This window comes from Homo sapiens, chromosome 3 (assembly GCF_000001405.40).
Source record: "Homo sapiens chromosome 3, GRCh38.p14 Primary Assembly".
In the NCBI taxonomy this organism is placed as follows: domain Eukaryota; kingdom Metazoa; phylum Chordata; class Mammalia; order Primates; family Hominidae; genus Homo; species Homo sapiens.
The window spans coordinates 88084485-88109293 of NC_000003.12; the positions used below are offsets into that span (position 1 = coordinate 88084485).

Genomic DNA, 24809 nt, shown 5'->3' on the forward strand with positions numbered 1-24809 from the left:
ACCGCATAGTTAGTAGTAGTTTTTACTTTCCAGCTAGTGAGAACTGCAAGAGCCAGACGAGATACAAGTTCAGAGACAATCTCCTTTAGCTTTTCTTTTTTATCTGTATGTGTTCCCAGAAACATTGGAAAGATGTGTGAGTACCTGGTACTGCCATTTGGAATTGTCAAGAACTGTGAAGAGTGAGATTTTATCCAAGTTTGCCTGCCACAGTTTTACAGGTGCTGGCAATTACACGAAACTCTTGAGTCAGAGATAATGGACTTTATTAATCATGGCACAGCAAGCAGCGTGAGTTTCGTGTTTATGATGATGCCCCTTGCTACCTCAAGTCTCATACAGTTGACATGGTAGCCCAAGTGGATGCTACACTTAGTAGGTTTTCATCACAGTTGAGGAACCTCAAGTTTAAGGAACGCTAATCTTTTATAATGGTCTACAAGCACATCTGCCTGACCTCTGCCCTAGAGGGAGAAAATATCTTCATTATACTGGCTATAAACAGGTTCTCTGCTCTGGAGGGAGACAGCATCTCTGTTTTTCAAGGCTGCTTCCTATAAATATCTTTGAAAAGATAAAGTCAGCTAGGACTTTTTGAAAAATTGTAGAAATGTGAGAGACCCATGGAAAATTGTCTCCCAGTAGGAAGTGATTAGTGTGAAAAGTCTTTTGGGCTCTGAGTGTTCTTGGCTTTTCTATTCTAGTTTTCTTAGCTTATGTATCAGGAGTCAGCAAACTTTTTTCTGTAAAAGGACAGACATTAAATATTTAAGGCTTTGTAAGCCATATTCTTTCTGTCACAACTACTGAACTCAGTTGTTGTAGCAGGAAAGCAGCCACAGACAATACATAAATGGATGAACCTGGTTGTGTTCCAATAAAACCTTATTTATAGATATTGAAATTTGAATTTCATGTAATTTTCACATATCACAAAGTGATTTTTTTTCCAACCACTTAAAAATGTAAAATCACTTTTACCTCGTGGATGTACAAAAACAAGTGGCAGGACAAATCAGGCAGGCAGGCAGTAGTTTTAGATGATGGATTTTGTTAATATAATATATTGTTTTAATACAGCATTCTTGCAACATAGCAATTGATGTTTCTAAAATGTTTTCTCATAAATTACCCCAATTTGGCTTCAGAGAGCATTGTCATCTCCATTTTATGGTAAGGAAACTAATGCATTGAGAAGGAAGATGACCTGTTGACCTACCCAGATTCATAAAACTAGTTAAGTGACAGAGCCAAGACTGACTGTATTCTGGACTCTTTTCCCCATAGTATGTACAGGTTAAATATTCATAATCAGTATCATGTCATATATCTTTTGTTGTCAGAATATTCATTTATTGCCAGAATGCTTAGAGTCTTATAAATAATAATGATAATAATAATGCATGATCGTTTCTAATTTTCTTTATTACTATATTCTACTCTCCAGCTATTTTAATATTGAATAATTGTTATTTTCACAAAAGCTGGATATAGGAGGTAAAGGGCATTAGTTAACAAAATTTGGTAAAACATTGGTAGTTGAATAGTACAGACATTCATACACTATATTTTCCATCTTTTCAAAGATAATAATTGATTTTATTTTCAGATATATATCGTCAAAATAAACAGTATAGAAGATCCCTCCCTCCAGTCACCTGTGTTCATGCCGATCTAATATTTTAATTTATCCAGTAACTTTTATGCAAATTTTTAAACTCGAGATGTTGAGAACTTTTTCTATAGTAATGTCTGGATTGCTTCTCTGTCAGGTGGTTGAAGATTATGCTGGAAGATGGCAGGTCCCTTTGCCACAGCTTCAGGTTCTTCAGACTGCCCTTTGTTGTTTTACAACAGCCAGTGCATCATTCCCAGATGAATGTGAGCATGTACAATATGTTTTGAGTAGCCTTGCTGTGTAAGTACTTTTTACTTCTTATAAATGCATTATTTTTCTTGATGTGTTTGAGAATTTGTTTTTGATAATTTCTTCTGAAGAAGAAACCTTTCCTAAAGTATTCCCTCAAAAAGAAATGTTTATTTTTTTCACTGAAGTATTCAGGTTTAATTTTGAACATGTAACCATAATTTTACTTTAAGTTTTAATAGTTAAATGGAATTTTGATATACAGATTCTTCTAGTTACTACAAGCACTTTACTTTCCTTTTTAATTCTCCAGATTGCCTTGGGAAGCTCTAATGGTAAGTCCCAGAATACAGCAGTTTAGGCTATGATAGTTACCAGAGAGACCTTAAATCAGGTCAGAAAGAGGTTAGGAAAATCCTGTTTGTTTGTTTTGTTGTTTTGTTCTTTTTGAGAAGGAGTCTCGCTCTGTCGCCCAGGCTGGAGTGCAGTGGTGCCATCTCGGCTCACTGCAAGCTCCCCCTCCCGGGTTCACGCCATTCTCCTGCCTCAGCCTCCCAAGTAGCTGGGACTACAGGCGCCCGCCACCACGCCTGGCTAATTTTTTGTATTTTTAGTAGAGATGGGGTTTCACCATGTTAGCCAGGATGGTCTTGATCTCCTGACCTCGTGATCTGCCTACCTTGGCCTCCCAAAGTGCTGGGATTACAGGCTTGAGCCACCGTGCCCAGCCCATTGTTTTGTTTTTTTGAGACAGAGTCTCTCTGTCACCCAGGCCGGAGTGCAGTGGTGTGATCTTGGTTCACCGCAACCTCTACCTCCCAGGTTCAAGTGATTCTCATGCCTCAGCCCCAGAGTACTTGGGACCACAGGTGTGCACCACCATGCCTGGATAATTTTTGTATTTTTAGTAGAGACAGGGTTTCACCGTGTTGGCCAGGCTGGTCTTGAACTCCTGACAGGTGATCTGCCCACCTTGGCCTTCCAAAGTGCTGGGATTACAGGCGTGAGCTACCACACCTGGCTGAAAATCCTGGTTTTTAAAAAATGCTTATAGAGAACTTCAAATTAAAGATTAAAAACTGAACATTTGTGATTATGCCTTCTGCCCTCCTAAGAACCCACTAAAATTATAGTAAAGAAGTAAAAGAGAGAAGAGAATGAAAATAAATAGAGAAAGATTATCAGTGAATGAACGATTTCTACAGTTTTCTGGGGGACAGAAAGCAGATAGAGGAATGGTCATTGCAACACAGCGGAGCAAGTCACAGCTTCATCTGTTATTTATTTATACCTCAAATTGTACTCACACCACAACAGTGGCTTATAAAAACACTTATTACAAATTGCAATAGAAAATATCAGAGTATGTCTCATAGGATAAGTATTATTATGTGAAACATTTATTTAGGGGAGAATGCAGATAAATTAATTACAATTTTTTAATGTAGTTCAATCACCAGGCCTTACGGACAGGTTGGGGTGGGGAAACAGCATTAGAGGTTGAGTATCCCTAATCTGATAATCCAAAATCTGACATCTGAAATGCTCCAAAATTCGAAACTCTTTGAGTGCTAACGTGATACTCAAAGGAAACGCTCATTGGAACGTTACAGATTTCAGATTTCTGGATTAGGGATGCTCAATCAGTAAGTATAAATACAAATACTACAAAATCCAAAACCTGAAACATTTCTAATTCTGAGCATTTCAGATAAGGGACACTCAACCTATACTACTTTTTTATTTCCTCTATATAAATTAAATAACCTTGGAGCAATGACCTTTGCATTCTGGCATTTACAGATTTCTCAGTGAGACTACTAGCTAATTACTTAATTACGCTAAAGAAAAATTCATCAGTCAAGAAACTCCAGACTCATGCTCATAGGGCTCCCAATTATTTACATATGGCCTGGTTTTTACATATTAATGAATATCTAAGAATCATCAGATATTTAAAAATGCCTTCAATATGAAAAAATGCAATGAAAAAGTGAAAAATAATTTTGAAAGAAAGTGTTAATGTTGAAAATAAAAATGAAATATAAAATCTATAATTAGCATTTTTAGAGAGAATTGAGAAGTTACGTACAACATTAAAAACATCAGTATCACGCTGTGTGAAAGGAATAATGAGATATGAAAAATGAATTTGAAATTAAGAAAATATGATGGTTAAAATTTAAAGTTCTGTAGGAAGGTTGGAAGATGTAAAGCTGAAGAAGAAATCCAGAATGTAAAACAAAACCAAAGAGAAATTTAAATGTGTGTGTGTACACTGTGCGTCTTTAAAAATTGATTTGTATATATTTGAAATTGTAGGAGGGAAAGAGAGTTTAGAATATATTATTTAGATTTGTAAGAGTGAGGCAGTTTAAAAAAAAACCTTTATTTATGTATGTATGTATGTATGGATGGATGGATGGATGGATGGATGGATGGATGGAGTCTGGCTCTGTCGCCTAGGTTGGAGTACAGTGGCATGATCTCGGCTCACTGCAACCTACATCTCCTGGGTTCAAGCAATTCTCCTGCCTCAGCCTCCCGAGTAGCTGGGATGACAGGCACCCGCCACCATGCCTGGCTAATTTTTGTATTTTTAGTAGAGATGGGATTTCACCATGTTGGCCAGGCTGGTTTTGAACTCCTGACCTCAGATGATCTACCCACCTCAGGCTCCCAAAGTGCTGGGATTACAGGCATGAGCTACCACGCCTGACCTAAAAAAAACTGTATTAAAAAAATTATATTTATTTTGTGATGCCGGAAGGAATATGTGAATTTATTTGTATTTGAACTTTTTGATTATACCTGGCAAGTCTTACTCAAGCTTACGTATTAAAAAAAAAAAAAAAAAAGCCCGGGTGCGGTGGCTCACGCCTGTAATCCCAGCACTTTGGGAGGCCGAGGCGGGTGGATCACAAGGTCAAGAGATCGAGACCATCCTAGCCAACATGGTGAAACCCTGTCTCTACTAAAAATACAAAAAATTAGCCAGGCGTGGTGGCAAGCGCCTGTAATCCCAGCTACTTGGGAGGCTGAGGCAGGAGAATCACTTGAACCCAGGAGGCGGAGGTTGCAGTGAGCCAAGATCATGCCATTGCACTCTAGCCTGGGCAAAAAGAGCAAAACTCTGTTTAAAAAAAAAAAAATGTTTTATTAGATAACTAAGCCATAGAAAAGCAAGAACTGGGACTAGTTTCAGGATTTTCTGAATCTAGAGAATAAAATAAACAGTTGCTAGATGAGCTAATGTCATCTAGAAACTGTTTCTTTCCATCTTTCCTCTTTGGGCTTTATTCTTTCAGGGCTGTTGACAGTTCTAGGATTAAGCTCAGTTTATTAACCAAGGAGGAAGAAACCCCTTCTGCCTACTACAGATCCCAAAAATATCTTGAGAAGAACTCTGGTCAGACCTGAGTTATGTTCCTACTGCTTAGATTAATCACTGTGTTGAGAATGTCATAAGATTTTGGGCTAGTCCATGGCTAGGGAAAAGGAGAATAAGTCATGCGCTGCATAAAGATGTTTCATATGAGATGGTGGTACCATGAGATTATAATGGAGCTGAAAAATTCCTATTGCCTAGTGAAGTCATAGCTGCCATAATGTAGTGCAACACATTATTCATGCTTGTGGTGATGCTGGTGTAAACAAACCTACGGCTCTGCCAGTTAGATAAAAGTATAGCATATAGAATTATACATATAATACATAATACTTGACAGTGATAATTATATTATTGATTTATGTACATGCTCTACTTTTTATTGTTATTTTAGAGTGTACCTCTTCTACCTATTAAAAAAAGGTTAACTGTAAAACAGCCACAGGCAGGTTCTTCTGAAGGCATTCCAGAAAAAGACATTGTTATCATATAAGGTAACAGCTTCATGCATGTTATTGCCCCTGAAGAACTTCCATTGTGACAAGATTTGGAGGTGAAAGAAAATTATATTGATGACCCTGATTCTATGTAGAACTAGGCTGATCAGTATGTGACTTAGTTTTTAACAACAGCAAGAAAAATGTAAAATACAAAAATGAAAAAATTTTTAAAAATGGAAAAAATTTAAAGAATAAGGATATAAAGAGAAAATATTTTTATACAGCTGTACAAATGTGTTTGTGTTTTGAGCTAAATGTTACAAAATAGTCAAAAAGTTAAAAGTAAAAAGTTTATAAAGGTTATAATAAGGCTAATTTATTATTAAAGAAAAAAATTTTTATAAGTGCGGTATAGCCTACATATACAGTGTTTATATTTCTACATGAGTGTGTAGTCATGTCATAGGTCTTTACATTCATTCACCATTCACTCACTGACACACCTATAACAACATCATTCTTGCAAGCTCCATTCATGGTAAGTGCCCTGTACACATAAACAGCTTTTATCTTTTACACCAGGGGTGTCCAATCTTATGGCTTCCCTGGCCACATTGGAAGAATAGGGATTGTCTTGGCCCATACATAAAATACAGTAACACTGACGACATCTGATAAGCTAAGAAAAAAAAATTGCAAAAAGATTACGTAATGTTTTAAGAAAGTTTACGAATTTGTGTTGGGCCTCATTCAAAGCCATCTTGGGCTGCATGCAGGCTGCGAGTTGGACAAGCTTGTTTTATGCTATATTTTTACTTACTTTTGTCTGTTTAGATACACAAATACTATTGTTACAGTTGCCTATGGTATTCAGTACAGTAGCATGCTATACAGGTTTGTAGCCCAGGTGTGTAGTAGACTATACCATTTAGCTTTGTGTATGTACATTAAGTGATGTTCACACAAGGACAAAATCACCTAATGATGCATTTCTCAGAACATATCCCTGTCGTTAAGCAACATAATGACTGTACTATGTTAGCTGCCCCATCAGAACCACAGAAGTGTTGGAGAGAGGAGCAATTTCCTTAAAGAACTGGCTACGTAGACAAAAATAATAAAAAATAATAAATAATCACACTACAAGGAAAATGTTTACATTATTTTGCAGATTACCAAAACTGTTTCAGTTATTCTCTACTGATTTTTGAGGAAAATATGTATTAAAATAAATTATTCGTAAGGAAGAAGTATTGCTGTTTCAGTGCCTATTGGAATTTTTTCCCTCTTTCATCTATATAATCTTTGTTAACTTTAGTGTTATGTGAAAATTCTTATACAACTTTCAAAAGTTCTTTGGTTTAAAATGTCATTTATTGACTTCTCTTGCATTGCCTGCTAGCTGATATGGTTTCACTGTGTCCCCACCCAAATCTCATCTTGAATTGTAGCTTCCATAATCTCCACGTGTCATGGAAGGGACCCAATGGGAGGTAATTGAATCATGGGGTCGGGTTTTTCCTGTGCTGTTCTCATGATAGTGAATAAGTCTCATGAGATCTGATGGTTTTATAAAGGGCAGTTCCCCTGCACATGCTCTCTTGCCTGCCGCCATGTAAGACATGCCTTTGTTCCTCCTTCGCCTTCTGCTGTGATTGTGAGGCCTCCTCAGCCATGTAGAACTGTGAGTCCATTAAACCTCTTTTTCTTCATAAATGACCCAGTCTCGGGTATTTCTTCATAGCAGTATGAAAATGGACTAAAACACTAGCTTTTCTACTACTGCCCATGTAAAAAATAATGTGTTAAGCAGAAGCAAATCTTATCTAAGATGTTCAATGTAAGGCAAAAGAAATATGTTATCTTGATGACTTACTAAATAGTAAGATTTCTTAGAAGGAAAACTTTTTGCATTATTTGTATTTACTTTACAGAGAAGTTAATTATATTTTCCATACCAGAAGAAAAATGGGGAAATAGCAACATGTTGGTCCTACTAAAAGAGTAGTAAATCTACAATAGTATGTTATTTTATTTAAATATTTAATCAAAAAATTTTTCTAACAATTACTGCATAATTATTTGGTCATTTATTCTGTAAAGCTCTGCTTGCTTCTAGGGATAAAATAGAATATAAGATAGATAAATTCTTGTTCTCCAAGATGTTACAGAGCTAAGAGATATTATATTAAACAAGCAGTTATACTTTTATATAATTGTAGTTAGGAGAGAATTACAGAATGCAATGAGAGGGCATAACAGGGACTTGACCTGTCTTGGAGGTCAGCAAAAATGTGCTGGGTGAGCTAACTTGCTGTACTCTGAAGGAATGACAGGAATAACTTAGATGAAGGAGCAGAAGAGCCTCTTAGGGATGGCAAACAGAATGTTTAAGGCACCTGGATATTAACAGATTTCAATATATTTATTATCTGTTTTTACAGTTCTTTTGATTTACATCATGACTTTAAATTTTTTATTTGCTTGACATATGAAGTTTATTAAATAATGTTATAAAATAATTTAAGGAGATTATGTCTTTTATATATGTATAACATTTACAAATAAAATATGTTATATGGAAAAATTGTAAGTTACTATATTCTCTGGCAGTATTGTCTGGTATATATGTCCACCTTAATAAAAGCCTTTATCTACTTTGTAATTATACATATGTATTGATCTGCCTTCTATCAGCTGGGACACTTGAAAATTAGAGTTTTGCTAGTGTTGTCTACAGGGAAGGAAAGTGGATTCTGCTTTTATTTATACTTGAGTGTTATTTCAGATGTTACAGAAATAAAAAGTCATGTAGTGAATTGTCTTAAATCAGCTAATTATAATTCTGTCTAACTTTACCTGGGTTGACTATCCTTATAAGATGTATTTTCTGAAGAAACAGAGATTTTGCTTTGTGCATATGGACCTCAAATTCATTCTTTGTAGATAAGAAAACTGAAGCCTGAAAAGTTGGGGGACTTTTGCAAATTGAGTTAATTAAGTTCTTACTGGTTTTTTCCTTTTGCCTTGTTTTAGATTGGTTAAATACTGATTCCTAAGTTAAGTTTCACAGGTGAAACAAAGCCAAACACCCTGAAACTAAGTGGACTTTCAGGCAGAAAATATAGACTTTATAAGTTTTACATAAAAGAAAAGCAAATTGTAATGCTGCCTTCACAGCCTCCTTTTACCCAACAGAAAGTAAATGTTCATAGATTTCAGCATTCCAGGTAGAGGTGAGTTATGGGACAGCAGGTATTTGCCTGACGGCCACTAGGTCCACAAGAATCACTGGAGGAGGAACTAGTTCAGCTAGTTGTATTTGGTGTGTGCACTGGCAAAGACTAAATGGTGTATTGGCAAGCTGTCTAAGAGAAAAGACCAAAGGGTCTTGTCTTCATGGAGCTAAGTGGGTATAATCAGTCTCTTATTTTGAGTGGCTAGATATTCTTGGACTAGACTACACATGTAATGTTAGATCACTGATCCTTTCTGATTATGTTGCTAAATTGTACTGTATTTCATACAGCATTTATGCCTAGCCTAACTTCAGTCTCTACTCTATAATCAAGTTTTACTTGATTGCATTTATAATTTAAGTCTAGGCTTTCAACTAATTTAGGAAATGACTTGGAAATAAAGGAAGAAAGGCTAATTATAAAGGTACATTTGTTTTTTGCGGGGGCTGGGCCCCACAAAAGGTGTTTGTATTGTAGGTCCCAATGAGTATTGCCCATCTCCACAGCATCTAGTACTCTTACTCCTGACTCTTTATATTGACGAACAATTATTCAACACCTTAACCAATTTTGTATCTATTGTCTTTACTAATCATTTGTGACATGTGAACTTAGTCATTTGAGAGAAAAATCTAGGTCGTCTAGCGTTCTATTTCTTTGTCTTCTCTGAGGAAGAGATAATATTCTTTTTTTTTTTTGAGGCAGTTGGTGGTCTTAATTCTTTTCTCTTACTAAACTTCATGAGATGGTTTTGTTCTTCCCTATTACACTAGAGTATTTTGTTTATAGGATTTGTTGTAGCTAAAGTCAATATTAAAAAACTCTTAGTGCATTTGTTTGTATTGGCCATCGTTAGAAACTTAGTATTGCATTTGGTCTTAGTTGTGACTAGCATCTTTTCCCCGGTAATTTTGGTCTTTATTGCTCCTTTTATTGATTTTGGAGTAAAGTGGTTGGGACTATAGTTGTTTTATGAGCAAAGAGATAGATTACTAATTGGTATATTTCTGTTGGTAGGGATGGAAAGTGATCAGGGGAAAAGAAATACCCTGTTCCCACCTACATTAGTATTTATATCAGAATCTAGAGGGCTGTAGATGTGTAGTTTTGGAAAATGGTATTTATTGTTTTTCTATTCTAAAGGAAGGAAAGCTTGATAGTTCTCTTGGTCAGTGTGGATATACAAAAATTAGAGCAAAACAGCAGTTGACTACAAGCTACTATTAGGAAGATCTTTATTCTTTAAAAGTTATTCTTTAAAAGATGTATATAGTCATTATGAATGGTGTAAGTACATTTGAATTTTTTTATTTTGAATGGCTTAATCTTGTGCTAAGTCAGATCATTAAAAAACTACAGAGCTGAACTTTTTTTTCTTTTTAACTTCCTTCCCACTAATATTTTTGATTTATAGAACTAGACTACAATATTATACTGGCAGCTTTTACTGTGGAATGAAGAAAAAAGAAAAAAAATTACATGAAATGCTTCTGTAATGATAAAATTGACAAAATTTTGCTCACTGCTTCTTACAAAGAAAACTTATGAGAAATTATCCCAGGATTAAGGCACTGGAAGAATTTCTTCCAAGTTTGCTGTATAAGAAGCAATGAACAGAATTATAGAATTCAAAATATTTAAGCAAATCATATATTTTTAGTAATTTATTGGTTGAAGCTTATTAGCTATAGTTTTCTTAAGCTTTGGTATCTTGAAAAGGTTTTCCCTTTATAAGAAAAAATTTGCTCCTTGTTTTGTAGGGAATAATTTTCAATGAATTCACTTTTGTTTCCTTTTTTATTTTTTCCCCCTATGAATAGGACTATCAGTTATGTTAAAGAGAACCAATACCATCTTTTCTCCTGTGGAGCACAGTGATAAGCATATTTTATCAAGGATATGTTTAGGATAGAAAGGGGTGGGGAGAAAGGAAGAGACAGGAATGTGAATGTATTATGTACTAAGAGAAGTGACAGGGATCACCCCCTTTTAGCCCTTTGCTGTTTTTTCCTCTTTGGTTTCTGTATCCTCAAGGTACGCATGCAACATCAGTCTCTCTTCATAAAATGCTGTCATAATTTGTAGACAGTTCACATTAGCTTCTTTTGCAAGAACCAGGTCTGCTTCATCTGTCTTTCCATTTCATTAAAAACATAAATTGCCACAGGAATCTGTTGCCCCAATGATCTTTTCTGGTTCTAGTCTTATCTCGAAGCCCCAAGCAATATCATCACTCTGTTCTCTTTTTTGGACTTGATACTGTCAGCACAGTTTGAGAAATTGGATTTCTTTGCTACTTTTTGACTTCTCCCCAGGCTTGTTATTTTAACCCTCCTTCATCATCTTAAACTTTTTTGTAAACTAAGAAATGAGCTAAAGGCAATCCAAGTTTTTCTCAGATTCCCAAGTATTGTGCTCCTCAGAAAAGCCTTTCCACTTCAGCAGATACTCCACTTGCCACTTAACCACATGCCTGTCTAGCACCTTCTCCACAGTCTACTCCTCTTCATTCTCTGATGAAATGTTAGCTGTGTGCTTGGTTTTCTTTCCCGTGTTGCACTGTTCTACCTGAAGGACTAAGGCCACTGCATCCCAGATACCCCCAGTTTGTTCTTTCCCTCTGGGCTATCAGTAGTGGCCTCCCCTCCTGGGTCTAGGGCTTGGCAGACTGACCTTCATTTTCTTTTTGATTAAGATCTGTTTCAGTCAAGATTCAATTAGGTAAATGTCAACCATCCTAGATAATTAAGTAGAAGGAACTTATTCATAGAATCACTTTTAAAGGTGTTAGATGATCTGAGAGAATAGACAGGAGATGGTGAACCTGAACATTGGCAATTGTGGCAAGTTGCTGTTAGCTCTAGAAATGGAGGGACAAAGGAAGAAGAAAGTATTACTAGAGCCCACAGACAAGAGATGGTTGATGAGAGGAAGCAGCACCGATTTGTGTGAGAGGGTACCTCTGAAGAGATATAACTACTGCTATAGAGGATCTTGAAGCAGAGGGGTAAGGGGAGAAAGACCCTCATTTCTCCTTCCTCCTGACTTCTGACTTCTGCCATTGACTCCCTTTAGCCAAAACTAACCAGAACCCAAAGACCTTTGTTTTGGAAGACATTTCCACTGATTATTGAATTTTAGATTGGCAATTTTTTTCTTCCCATACTTTAAAGAAGTCCATCCAGTGTCTTCTGGCCACATTTTCTTCTGATGAAAAATCTGCTTTTTATCTGGTTCCATGTATATAATGTACCCTTTTAGCGGCTTGCTTTTAAGATTTCATCTTTATCACTTTTAATTTTTGAGTAGGTAATACATGTTCATGGTTCAAAATTCGAAAAGTGTGGCGTATACAATGAGATACCCTTGCCATTTACATTTACCTGTCCCCTAGTTTCCTAGTTTCTGTATCTGTAGCCATCCAGTGTACTTATTTTCATGAGTTTTCCTTTCAGATATATAATGCATATATAAGAAAAAAACCTCATATTATCATTTTAGACAAATGCTAGTATACTATACACACTGTTTTGTATCTCTGTTTTTCACTTAGATACCTTTCCCCATCAGCATAGAAAGAACACTGGTCATCACATTGGCTGTAGAGTATTTCACTCTTATGTGTATATCAAAATGTAATTAACCAGCCCCTTACTAATGGATAGTTCTTGTTTCAATCTTTTGCTGTTATCAACAACCCTTTAATGAATTACCATGTATGACCGGAATATGTACAAGGGTATTTGTATATCTTAGATGTATCCTAGGAGTAGATTAATTGCTAGATCAAAGAGTGTAATTTATCACTTATCACACATTTATACAAGGAATGTAATTTTTCATTTTGGTAGATGCTGCCAAATTTCCTCTGTAAAGGTTGAACCAATTTACATTCTTGCCAGCAAGGTAAGAGAGAACCAGTTTTCTCACACCTTTGTCAACAGTTTTTTTTTTTTTAAATAATGGGAGACTTTAACACCCACTGTCAATATTAGACAGATCAATGAGACAGAAGGTTAACAAGGATATCTGGGACTTGAACTCAGCTCTGCACCAAGCAGACCTAACAGACATCTACTGAACTCTCCACCCCAAATCGACAGAATATACATTCTTCTCAACACCACATCACACTTATTCCAAAATTGACCACATAATTGGAAGTAAAACACTCCTCAGCAAATGTAAAAGAACAGAAATCACAAGATACTGTCTCTCAGACCACAGTGCAATCAAATTAGAACTCAGGATTAAGAAACTCACTCAAAACCGCTCAACTACATGGGAACTGAACAACCGGCTCCTGAATGACTACTGGGTACATAACAAAATGAATGCAGAAATAAAGATGTTCTTTGAAACCAATGAGAACAAAGACACAACATAACAGAATATCTGCGACACATTTAAAGCAGTGTGTAGAGGGAAATTTATAGCACTAAATGCCCACAAGAGAAAGCAGGAAAGATCTAAAATTGACACCCTAATATCACAATTAAAAGTACTAGAGAAGCAAGAGCAAACAAATTCAAAAGCTAGCAGAAGACAAGAAATAACTAAGATCAGAGCAGAACTGAAGGAGATAGAGACATAAAAAACCCTTCAAAAACAATCAATCCAGGAGCTGGGTTTTTGAAACGATCAACAAAATTGACAGACTGCTAGCAAGACTAATAAAGAAGAAAAGAGAGAAGAATCAAATAGATGCAATAAAAAATGATAAAGGGGATATCACCACCGATCCCACAAAAATACAAACTGCCATCAGAGAATACTATAAACACCTCTACACAAATAAACTAGAAAATCTAGAAGAAATGGATAAATTCCTGCACACATACACCCTCCAAAGACTAAACCAGGAAGAAGTTGAATCTCTGAATACACCAATAACAGGCTCTGAAATTGAGGCAATAATTAATAGCTTACCAACCAAAAAGGGTCCAGGACCAGATGGATTCACAGCCAAATTCTACCAGAGGTACAAAGAGGAGCTGGTATCATTCGTTCTCAAACTATTCCAATCAATAGAAAAAGAGGGAATCCTCCCTAACTCTTTTTATGAGGCCAGCATCATCCTGATACTAAAGCCTGGCAGAGACACAACAAAAAATGAGAATTTTAGACCAATACCCTTGATGAACATTGATGCAAAAATCCTCAGTAAAATACTGGCAAACTGAATCCAGCAGCACAGCAAAAAGCTTATCCACCATGATCAAGTGGGCTTCATCCCTGGGATGCAAGGCTGGTTCAACATACGAAAATCAATAAACGTAATCCAGCATATAAACAGAACCAAAGACAAAAACCACATGATTATCTCAATAGATGCAGAAAAGGCCTTTGACAAAATTCAACAACACTTCATGCTAAATAAAAACTCTCAATAAATTAGGTATTGATGGGACCTATCTCAAAATAATAAGAGCTATCTATGACAAACCCACAGCCAGTATCATACTGAATGGGCAAAAACTGGAAGTATTCCCTTTGAAAGCTGGCACAAGCAGGGATGCCCTCTGTCACTACTTCTATTCATCATAATGTTGGAAGTTCTGGCCGGGGCAATCAGGCGAGAGAAAGAAATAAAGGGTATTCAGTTAGGAAAAGAGGAAGTCAAATTGTCCCTGTTTGCAGATGACATGATTGTATATTTAGAAAACCCCATTGTCTCAGCCCAAAATCTCCTTAAGCTGATAGGCAACTTCAGCAAAGTCTCAGGATACAAAATCAATGTGCAAAAATCACAAGCATTCCTCTACACCAATAACAGACAGAGAGCCAAATCATGAGTGAACTCCCATTCACAATTGCTACAAAGAGAATAAAATACCTAGGAATCCAACTTACAAGGGATGTGAAGGACCTCTTCAAGGAGAACTGCAAATCACTGCTCAACAAAAGAGGTCACAAACAAATGGAAGAATATTCCATGCTCATGGATAGGAAGAATCAATATTGTGAAAACGGCCATACTGCCCAAGGTAATTTATAGATTCAATGCCATTCCCATCAAGCTACCAATGCCTTTCTTCACAGAATTGGAAAAAACTACTTTAAAGCTCATACGGAACCAAAAAAGAGCCCGCATTGCCAAGACAATCCTAAGCCAAAGAACAAAGCTGGAGGCATCACACTACCTACTTCAAACTATACTACAAGGCTACAGTAACCAAAACAGCATGGTACTGGTACCAAAACAGAGATACAGACCAATGGAACAGGACAGAGCCCTCAGAAATAATACCACACATCTACAACCATCTGATTTTGACAATCCTGACAAAAACAAGAAATGGAGAAAGGATTCCCTATTTAATAAATGGTGCCAGGAAAACTGGCTAGCCATATGTAGAAAGCTGAAAATGGGTCCCTTCCTTACACCTTATACAAAAATTAATTCAAGATGGATTAAAGACTTAAATGTTAGACCTAAAACCATAAAAACCCTAGAAGAAAACGTAGGCAATACCATTGAGGACATAGGCATGGGCAAGGACTTCATGACTAAAACACCAAAGGCAATGGCAACAAAAGCCAAAATTGACAAATAGGATCTAATTTAACTAAAGAGCTTCTGCACAGCAAAAGAAACTACCATCACAGTGAACAGGCAACCTGCAGAATGGGAGAAAATTTTTACAATCTACCCATCTGACAAAGGGCTAATATCCAGAATCTACAAAGAACTTAAACAAATTTACAAGAAAAAATCAAACAACCCCATCAGAAAGTGGGTGCCGGATATGAACAGACACTTCTCAAAAGAAGACATTTATGCAGCCAACAGACATGAAAAAATGCTCATCATCACTGGCTATCAGAGAAATGCAAATCAAAACCACAATGAGATACCATCTCACACCAGTTAGAATGACAATCATTAAAAAGTCAGGAAACAACAGGTGCTGGAGAGGATGTGGAGAAATAGGAACACTTTTACACTGTTGGTGGGACTGTAAACTAGTTCAACCATTGTGGAAGTCAGTGTGGCAATTCCTCAGGGATGTAGAACTAGAAATACCATTTGACCCAGCCATCCCATTACTGGGTATATACCCAGAGGATTATAAATCATGCTGCGCACATGTATGTTTATTGCAGCACTATTCACAATAGCAGAGACTTTGAACCAACTCAAATGTCCATCAATGATAGACTGGATTAAGAAAATGTGGCACATATACACCATGGAATACGATGCAGCCATAAAAAGGATGAGTTCATGTCCTTTGTAGGGACATGGATGAAGCTGGAAACCATCATTCTCAGCAAACTATCACAAGGAAAGAAAACCAAACACCGCCATGTTCTCACTCATAGGTGGGAATTGAACAATGAGAACACTTGGACACAGGAAGGGGAACATCACACAGCGGGGCCTGTCATGGGGTGGGGAAAGCGGGGAGGGATAGCATCAGGAGATATACCTAATGTAAATGACAAGTTAATGTGTGCAGCACACCAACATGGCACCTGTATACATATGTAACAAACCTGCACGTTGTGCACATGTACCCTAAAACTTAAAGTATAATAAAAGAAAACTTTATTATGACAATTTTCAAGTATACTTGAAAGTAAAAGTAGTAGAAGCAACTATCACCTAGCTTCAACAGTTATCAGTATATTGTCAATCTTGTTTCAGCTGTATTTCCCCACTCCTTACCCATTGCTAGTTATCTTTTTTTATGTAAAGCTTTATTAAAAAGTATAAAATCCATATAATTCACCCATTGTCAGTTTATAATTCAGTGATTTTTTGGTAAGTTTTATAGAGTTGTGCAACCATTACCACAATCCAGTTTTTCATTTTCATTACCCCAGAAAGCTCCCTCATGCTCATTTGCATTCAGTCCCCAGTGCCTACCCAGCTCAAGGCAACTACTGCTCTGCTTTCTATCTCTATAGAGTTGCTATTTCTAGACATTTCATATAAATGATATCATAGAATATGTAGTATTTTGGATACTTTCACTTAGAGCAAGTGAAAATATTTAAAAATAGTCTTGCGAAATAGTCATGTAAAATATTCTTTTAAATGACTATTTTTCACTTAGAATAATGTTCTTGAGGTTTACCTATGTTAGCATTTATCAGTAGCTCATTTCTTTTTGTGCTTCATAGATTTCAGTATATGGATATATTATATTTTATTTATGCATTCAGCAATTGATGGCTATTCAGATTACTTCCAGTTTTGGGCTATAAACATTTCTGTATGTGTCTTATGTGGCCACATCTTTTCATTTCTCCTAGGTAGATACCTAGGCATAGAATTGTTAGATGTATGATTAGTTTATGTTTAGCGTTTTGTAAAACTGCTAACCAAAGTGACTGTACGATTAAAATTCTAACCAATTTCTTATGGGGGTAGCAGTTTCTTTACATCTTCACTAATACTTTTTATCTTTTTCATAATAGCCATTTTAATGGTTATACAGTAGTATGTCATTTTGTTTTTAATTTGCATTTCCTCAGTCCTGTCGTTGGTAAGCATCTTTTTGTATGCTTTGCTATTTTATATTTTCTTTGGCAAAATCTATCAAATTTTTTTGCCCATTTTTAAATTGTATTATTTGTCATCTTACTGAGTTCTAAGAATTCTTTATGTATTCTGGATATACACTCTTTATCAGATATGTGATTTGTGATTTATCCCATGCTATATCTTGTCTTTTCATTTTCTCATTGGTGTCTTTTGAAGTTTATTGCTGGTTTAAAGAAATTTGGTTGTAATGTGTTTTGTGTAGTTTTCTTCGTGTTTCTTGATTTTAAGCTTCTTGGATCTGTGGGCTTACAATTTTTGTCAGCTTTTGGAAATGTCCTCAAAAAACTTTTTAGAAACCACTATTGTGTTTTCTTCAGGGATGCTACCTGAAGGGGAACAACAGCTGTCTTGCAGCTCATTAATAGCTCTAGTCGTTTTTTGTCTTTCTCTTTTATTTTAAATAGTTTTCTATTGCTGTACCTTTATTTTCCCATTATACTGTTATCTTCTATAATGTCAAATTTGCTGTTAATCCCATACAGTGTATTTTTCATTTCAGACATTTTATTTTTTATGTGCAAAAGCGTGATGAAGGTCTTTTTGTGTCTTCCATTTCTTTACTTAACATGGTTAATCTTTTCTCTATCACTGGGATTCACAAACTATGGCCCATGGGCCAAATCCTAAAATAGTATCTGGCAATTCAGCCTCTCCTGTAAATCCAATAGAATAGTGCAAGAATTTGAAGCCAGTGGTGCACAGAAGGTCATGATACCAACAACAAAACCCATATTCAGTTTAACTTCTAACCGGTTTTACTCATATGCTCCACAATAAAGCCCTAGCAGAAGAAAAGACATGCCTCTTTCTAGGCATAAATGCTGTTTACCTCAACCTCTACTGTCTTTTTTTTTTTTTTTTTTTTTAATAATTTCAACTTGTAGTTTAGATTCTGAGAGTATGTATGCCAGTTTGTTGCATGGATATATTGCTGAGGTTTGGGATATGAATGGTCCCATAACCCAGGTGGTAAGCATACTAACCACTAGATAGTTTTTAAATCCTACCCTCTGCCCCACTAGTAGTCTCCAGTGTCTGTTGTGCCATCTTTATGTCCATGAGTATGAAATGTTTAGCTCCCCCTTATAAGTGAGCACATGTGTTATTTGGTTTTCTGTTCATGCGTTAATTCACTTAGGATAATGGCCTTATATAATGAAGCCCAGCTTTCAAAAACCAGAAATTACAGACACATTTTTTTTTAAAAAAGAGACCCCCTATTAAGAGATAAAGCAATCAGTAGAACTAGATCCCGATATAAAGGCTATAGTGGAAAAGACAGATAATACGTTTGAGCAGATTGGAAATTTCGGCACAGAAACGTTAAGAAAGATTCAAATGGAAATTCTGGAAATAGACACATTAACAGATGAAGAATGGCTAAGACCTTCAGATTCTTTAGTAGACTTAATGCAGCTAAAGAAAGAATGAATGAACCTTGAATGTAGATTCATAGAAATACCCAAACTAAAAGGCAAGGAGAAACAGAACAGAGTGTCTAAGAATTTAGGAAAATCTAAAACTGTATAACATGTCTACTAGAATTTCAGAAGAAGATAAAATGAGGCAGAATAAATATTGACAAAATAATGGCCATGAATTTTCTTAAAATAATGTAAAGGATCCAGCTACAGAAACTAGAACACAAGTAGGTGAAAGTAACAAGAGAAAAAAAGACATGATCCAAAGAAGAATGAAGATAATGTGTAGCGGACATCTCTTCAGAAATTGCAAGTTAAAACACAATGAAGTGACAACTTTAAAGTGATGAAAGAAAGAGATGTATTAACTTTTTTTTTTTTTTTTTTTTTTGAGATGGAGTCTTGCTCTGTCTCCCAGGGTAGAGTGCATTGGCGCCATCTTGGCTCACTGCAACCTCTGCCTCTCGGGGTCAAGCGATTCTTCTGCCTCAGTCTCCCAAGTAGCTGGGATTACAGGTGCCCGCCCCTATGCCTGGCTGATTTTTTTATTTTTAGACGGGGTTTTGTCATGTTGGCCCGGCTGGTCTCGAACTCCTTACCTCAGGCGATCCACCTGCCTCGGCCTCTGCTGGGATTACAGGCCATGAGCCACCACACCTGGTCAAACTTTCAGTTCGAGAAAATATATTTCTAAAGTAAAAGAGAGAGATGTATGTAATCAAAAACTGAGGTAATTCATTTCTGGCAGGCCTGAACTACAGAAAAATGTTAAAGGGAGTTCCATAAGCAGCACCAGATGCTGGACAGAAATTTGGATGTATCTAAGGAAATAGAGTGGAAAATGGTAAATAAAAACTGAAGATAAATATCAAATTAAATTTTTCTTATTTTTAAACACTGTAAAACATAACTGATCATCTAAAGCAGGGGTTGACAAAACAGTTTTTAAAAGGGCTAGATATTTTAGACTCATGGACCGTAGTGTCTCTGTAACTACTCAGCTTTGCTCTTGTAGCAAGAAAGCAGCCATAAACACTACATAAATTAATGGATAGCGTTGTGTTTCAACACAATTTTTATACAAACTGGCAGGCAGCCTATGGGCCATATATTCCAGATGCCAGGAATAAAGCAAAAATTGTAGTGAAATATTATTGGTTTGTAGCATGTTTAAAACCAAATGAATGACAAAAATAGTACATAGGTTATTATACCTAAAGCACCATAATATTATTTGAGATTAGGCGGGATTTTTAAAGATATGTATATTTGTAAACTCTAGAGTAACCGCTAAAAACAGGTGAATGTGTTAAGCCAAAGTGGACACTAAATGGAATCTTAAAATTGCTCAGTCCCAAAGAAGGAGGAAGAAGAGGTCAAACAGAACAATGAATAGACAGAACAAACAAAACTATTAAGATGATAGGGTTTAATCTAAGCATATTAAAAATTACATAAAATTCATCCAGGCACAGTGGCTTACGCCTGTAATCCCAGCACTTTGGAAGGCCAAGGTGGGCAGATTACTTCAGGCCGGAAGTTTGAGACCAGCCTGGCCAACATAGTGAAACCCTGTCTCTACTAAAAATACCAAAAATTAGTCAGGTGTGGTGGCGCGCGCCTGTAATCCCAGCTACTCGGGAGACTGAGGCAGAAGAATCACTTGAACCCAGGAGGTGGAGGTAGCAGTGAGCTGAGTTGCACCACTGCACTCCAGCCTGAGCAAGAGAGCAAGACTCCATCTCAGAAAACAAACATAAATTACATAAAATTCAAATGGTCTATGCCTATTAAAGACAGGAATTCGGTTGATAGAAAAGCAAGGTCCAACTAACAAATAACATATCCATGCCCTTTTTTAGATAAACAGATACATACATTTTTCCACCCTGCTTTTTTTTACTTAGTATTATATCTTGGAGATCATTCCACAGTGATACAGACTATTCCAAATTCATTTTTTACAATTTATGGTATTCTGTGAATTCTATGAATTTTGTTGTGTTGATGTAGCATAGTCAGTCAATTTGTCCTCTACTGGTATGCATTTGGGTTGTTTCCATTCTTTTCCTGTTATAAATAGTGCTATGATTAATATCCTTTTGGATACCTCTTTTTGAATTTTTGCCAGATTTTGGGGGTAGGTTCCTAGAATCTGGGTCAAAGGATGAACACATTGTAATGTTGCTAAATATGCCCAGTGTTCCTTCCATAGAGCTTGTACCATTTTGTATAACCTACCCACAAAATCTGGCCTTGTATATCTCTGACCTCATCACAATTTATTCTGTCAATCTTCTGATTTTTTTTGACTAAACTAATAAATGAGAAATGGCATCTTGGTATATTTTTAATTTGTATTTTTCTTCTTGTGACTGAAGTTTGAATATCTTTTTTTCATATCCTTTGGTATGCTTTATCCCCCCAAAACTCATATTGCAATTTAATTGGAATTGTAACAGTATTAAGAGGTGGGACCTTTGAGAGGTGATTAGGCCATGAGGGCCTGCCCTCACAGGTGGGATTAATGCTGTTATAAAAGGGTGAATTTGGCCTCTTTTTGCTGCTTGGCCCTTTTACCTTCTGCCATGTAATGATCTAGCCTTCTTCCTCTCCAGAGGATGTGGCATTCACCGTGCCATCTTCTCAGAAGAGAAGGGCCTCACCAGACACCAAACCTGTTGGCGCTCTGATGAGCTGCCAGAACTGGGAGCCAAATAAGTTTCTCTTCATTATAAATTACTCAGTCTCAGGTACTCTGTTACAGCTGTACAATGGACTAAGATGTTCTTGAAGCCCATCTGTGTTTGATTTTTCCTGAGCTGTCTGATGATATGTCAATCCTACTTTCTATAAATTAGTTGGACTTTTTCTTTTCATTATTGTTATAGGGATGTTAAGCCCTTCCTGTGCTGTAAGTTGAAAATGTATATTTTTTTCATTTATCTTTTTGTTTTTTTGGAAGACAGAGTCTCACTCTGTCACCCAGGCTGGATTGCAGTGGTGTGATCTCGGCTCACTGCAGCCTCTCCCTCCTGGGTTCAAGCAGTTCTCCTGCCTCAGCCTCAGGAGTAGCTGAGATTACACATGTGTGCAGCCACCCCCAGCTAATTGTTTGTATTTTTTGTAGAGACAAGGTTTCGTTCGCCATGTTGGCCAGGCTGGTCTCAAACTCCTGACCTCAATTGATCCACCCACCTCGGCCTCCCAGAGTGCTGGGATTACAGGTGTGAGCCACTGGCCTCGGCCCTTTTTTTCATTTATCTTTTGCTTTGCATGTGGTGTTAATTTGTTTAATGCTTTTTTAAGCTGTGTAGATTTTTAAAATGTAATTAAAATATGTTAATGTTCCCCTATTGCTTCTGAGTTTCTTATCATAGTTAAACATTTCTCAGTAACCAAGTTATATGAGGATTTTTTTTTCTGATATTTGTCCTGTATAATTTTTAACATTTGGCTGTCCAGTATGAAGAAGTGAATTTTTCCCTGATTTGAGATGCTGTTTTTATCGTATACTAAATTTTCACATACTATTGTGGTCTCTTTTTGGATTTTCTATTGTTTCATTAGCCTATTTGTCTGTTCGTGTGCCAACACAATGTTGATTTAATTATAGAGGCTTTACAAAATTGGCTGGTCCCTTTTCATTTCTCTTGTTTCATGTTTGCCAGATACACAATTTTGTAATGAAATTGTCTACCCCCAGAAAAACTTGAAGATACTTTTACTGTATGTAAATGTGTAAATTAGTTAAGGGGAATTTAGCTCTTAACTTATTGAGGTATACACTTTATATACTTTATCTTCCTCCAGTAAAATGGCATTGGAACACTAACGCTGAATGAATGCTCATGTTATTGATGTCATGTGTTTTTGCTGTATTTTTAAAGCCTAGATGAGATTATTTTTATTAGTACTTCAAATTGTCAAAATTCGTTAGCCTATATATTTACTGATTTGCATCTTAGACCTTTCTTTCCAATTTAATTTCCCATGTTTTTGTAAACAATCTATATCTTTCTCTGTTTATCCACTGCTCTTTATTGGTATTTTATAGTTTATTATGATTAGCTAGATGTATAATTGTTTTATTTATCTCTATTGGCATTTTCTGGGCTCTCCTGAATTTATGGATTTGGATTTTTCGTCAGTTGCGAAAAATTCTCGTCCAGTTAATGTCTTTGCCACATTTCTTATTTCCCTTTTAGAACTATGATTAAACATGTATACTCCACCTCTGTGTTCCTTAACTCTTGCTTCTTGTGTTTTCCATTTCTTTGTCTTTCTGTAGGTACTCTGGATAATTTTTCAGATTTTTTCAGTGTACCAATTTTTTCTTCAGGTGTATCTAATCATCCATAAGATCTGCCTGTTGACTTTTAATTTCAGTGATTTTATTATTTCTGGAAGCATTTTGACTACTGATAATTTTATCTTGTTCTTTATATTTTCAATGTCATCATTTCTTAAACTATATAATACCCATATTTTATATTCTGTATGATTTTAATAAAGTCTCTGTGACTAACGTTCTTTTGGCCTTGTTCATAGTGCTGTGTTTCCTTGTATGTTGTGGTTTTTATTGTTCTTATCATTTTTTTTTGTTTATATTGTGTTTGTATTTTCTAGAATAAATTTATTTGTGGTAATTGAAGCCTGGATTGAAAGAATTTGCATTTGTTTTTGTCAGGTGCCTGGAGATATTACTAGCTTGGGACCAATATTAGTTAAATTCTTGGCTTGAGAATTTTTTGACCATGTAGGTATATGAATTCAGGTCACGACCTACATGAGAAGATTTTCAAAGTAGTTTTTTTTTTTTCCTATTTCTACTTAGCTCCAAGTTCACACTGGCAGTTTTCCTTCCAGTCTAGAAATGTGGGGAAGAATATACTGGTGTAGCTATTTGAATTTTTAGTCAAGGCAAGCTATTTTATCTAGCATTTTAATTGTTTTCAGAGGGAGAATCATTAAAGGTACCTAGTGACTCATACTATGGAAAATACAGTGTACAGTTTTCTTTAGTTTTGTCTGTACAATAGTCTCCCCTCATCTGTGGATTCACTTTCTGCGGTTTGTTACCCATAGTCAACCATGGTCCAAAAATGTTAAATAGAATATTCCAGAAATAATACATTTTAAAATTGCAAGCTATTCTGAGTAGCATGATGAAATCTCACACCATCCCAACTAGGATGTGCATTATCCCTTTGTTCAGTGTATCTACACTGTATACGCTACCTGCCCATTAGTCATTTCGTAGCCCTCTAGGTTATCAGATCAACTATCATGAGTATCACAGTGCTTGTGTTCAGGTAACCCTTATTTTACTTAATAATGGCCCCAAAGCCAAGAGTAGTGATGCCAGTAATTCATATATGCCAAAGAAAAGCTGTAAAGTGCTTCAGTTGAAAAGGTTAAAGTTCTCAACTTCAGAAAAAAAAAAAATTGTATGCTGAGGTTGCTAAAATCTCACAGTGAGAACAAATTTCCTATCTCTGAAATTGTGAGGGACAAAGAAATTCATGCTAGTTTTACTGTCACACCTCAAACCGCAAAATTTAAAGCCACATGGTGCATGTTAAGGTGCTTAGTTAAGATGGAAAAGGCGTTACATTTGTGAGTGGGAGACATGAACAGAAACATGTTCAAATTGATGAAAATTGGGTTAGGTGCTATCCGTGGTTTCAAGCATCCAGTGGGAGGGAAGGGGTCTGGTAATGTATCCCCTGTGGATAAGTGGGCACTAGTGTGTGTGTGTGTGTGTGTGTGTGTGTGTGTGTGTGTATGAAGAAAACCGTTAACTTTTTCCTCCCTCAGTAAAGATGTTACTGAAGAAAATATTTTGAAGATTAAGTGCATTAGAATAGTTGAGTATGTCAACGTTACCCACAATCAAA

At 36.1% G+C, this 24809-nt stretch overlaps 2 protein-coding genes and 1 pseudogene across 11 annotated transcripts in view; 1 reads left to right on the forward strand and 2 right to left on the reverse strand.

Moving 5' to 3' along the window:
* Window positions 1-24809, reverse strand: part of CGGBP1 (CGG triplet repeat binding protein 1) — a 97921-nt gene that overhangs the window by 32535 nt on the left and 40577 nt on the right. The gene's annotated exons all lie outside the window — the stretch shown is intronic.
* The window catches only part of ZNF654 (zinc finger protein 654), an 85406-nt gene that overhangs the window by 25230 nt on the left and 35367 nt on the right, over window positions 1-24809 (forward strand). For 7 of the 10 annotated variants that reach the window (NM_001366097.1, XM_017006789.3, NM_001350134.2 and 4 more), the window contains exon 2: window positions 1773-1918. The exons of the other annotated variants lie outside the window; for them this stretch is intronic. Coding sequence is in view for 4 of the 7 variants with exons in the window: in XM_017006789.3 (XP_016862278.1) it covers window positions 1773-1918 (146 nt within the window). In the remaining 3 variants the exon portion in view is untranslated. The remainder of the gene's footprint in view (window positions 1-1772; window positions 1919-24809) is intronic. 10 annotated transcript variants of the gene reach the window in all.
* Window positions 10747-11605, reverse strand: CBX5P1 (chromobox 5 pseudogene 1; annotated as a pseudogene).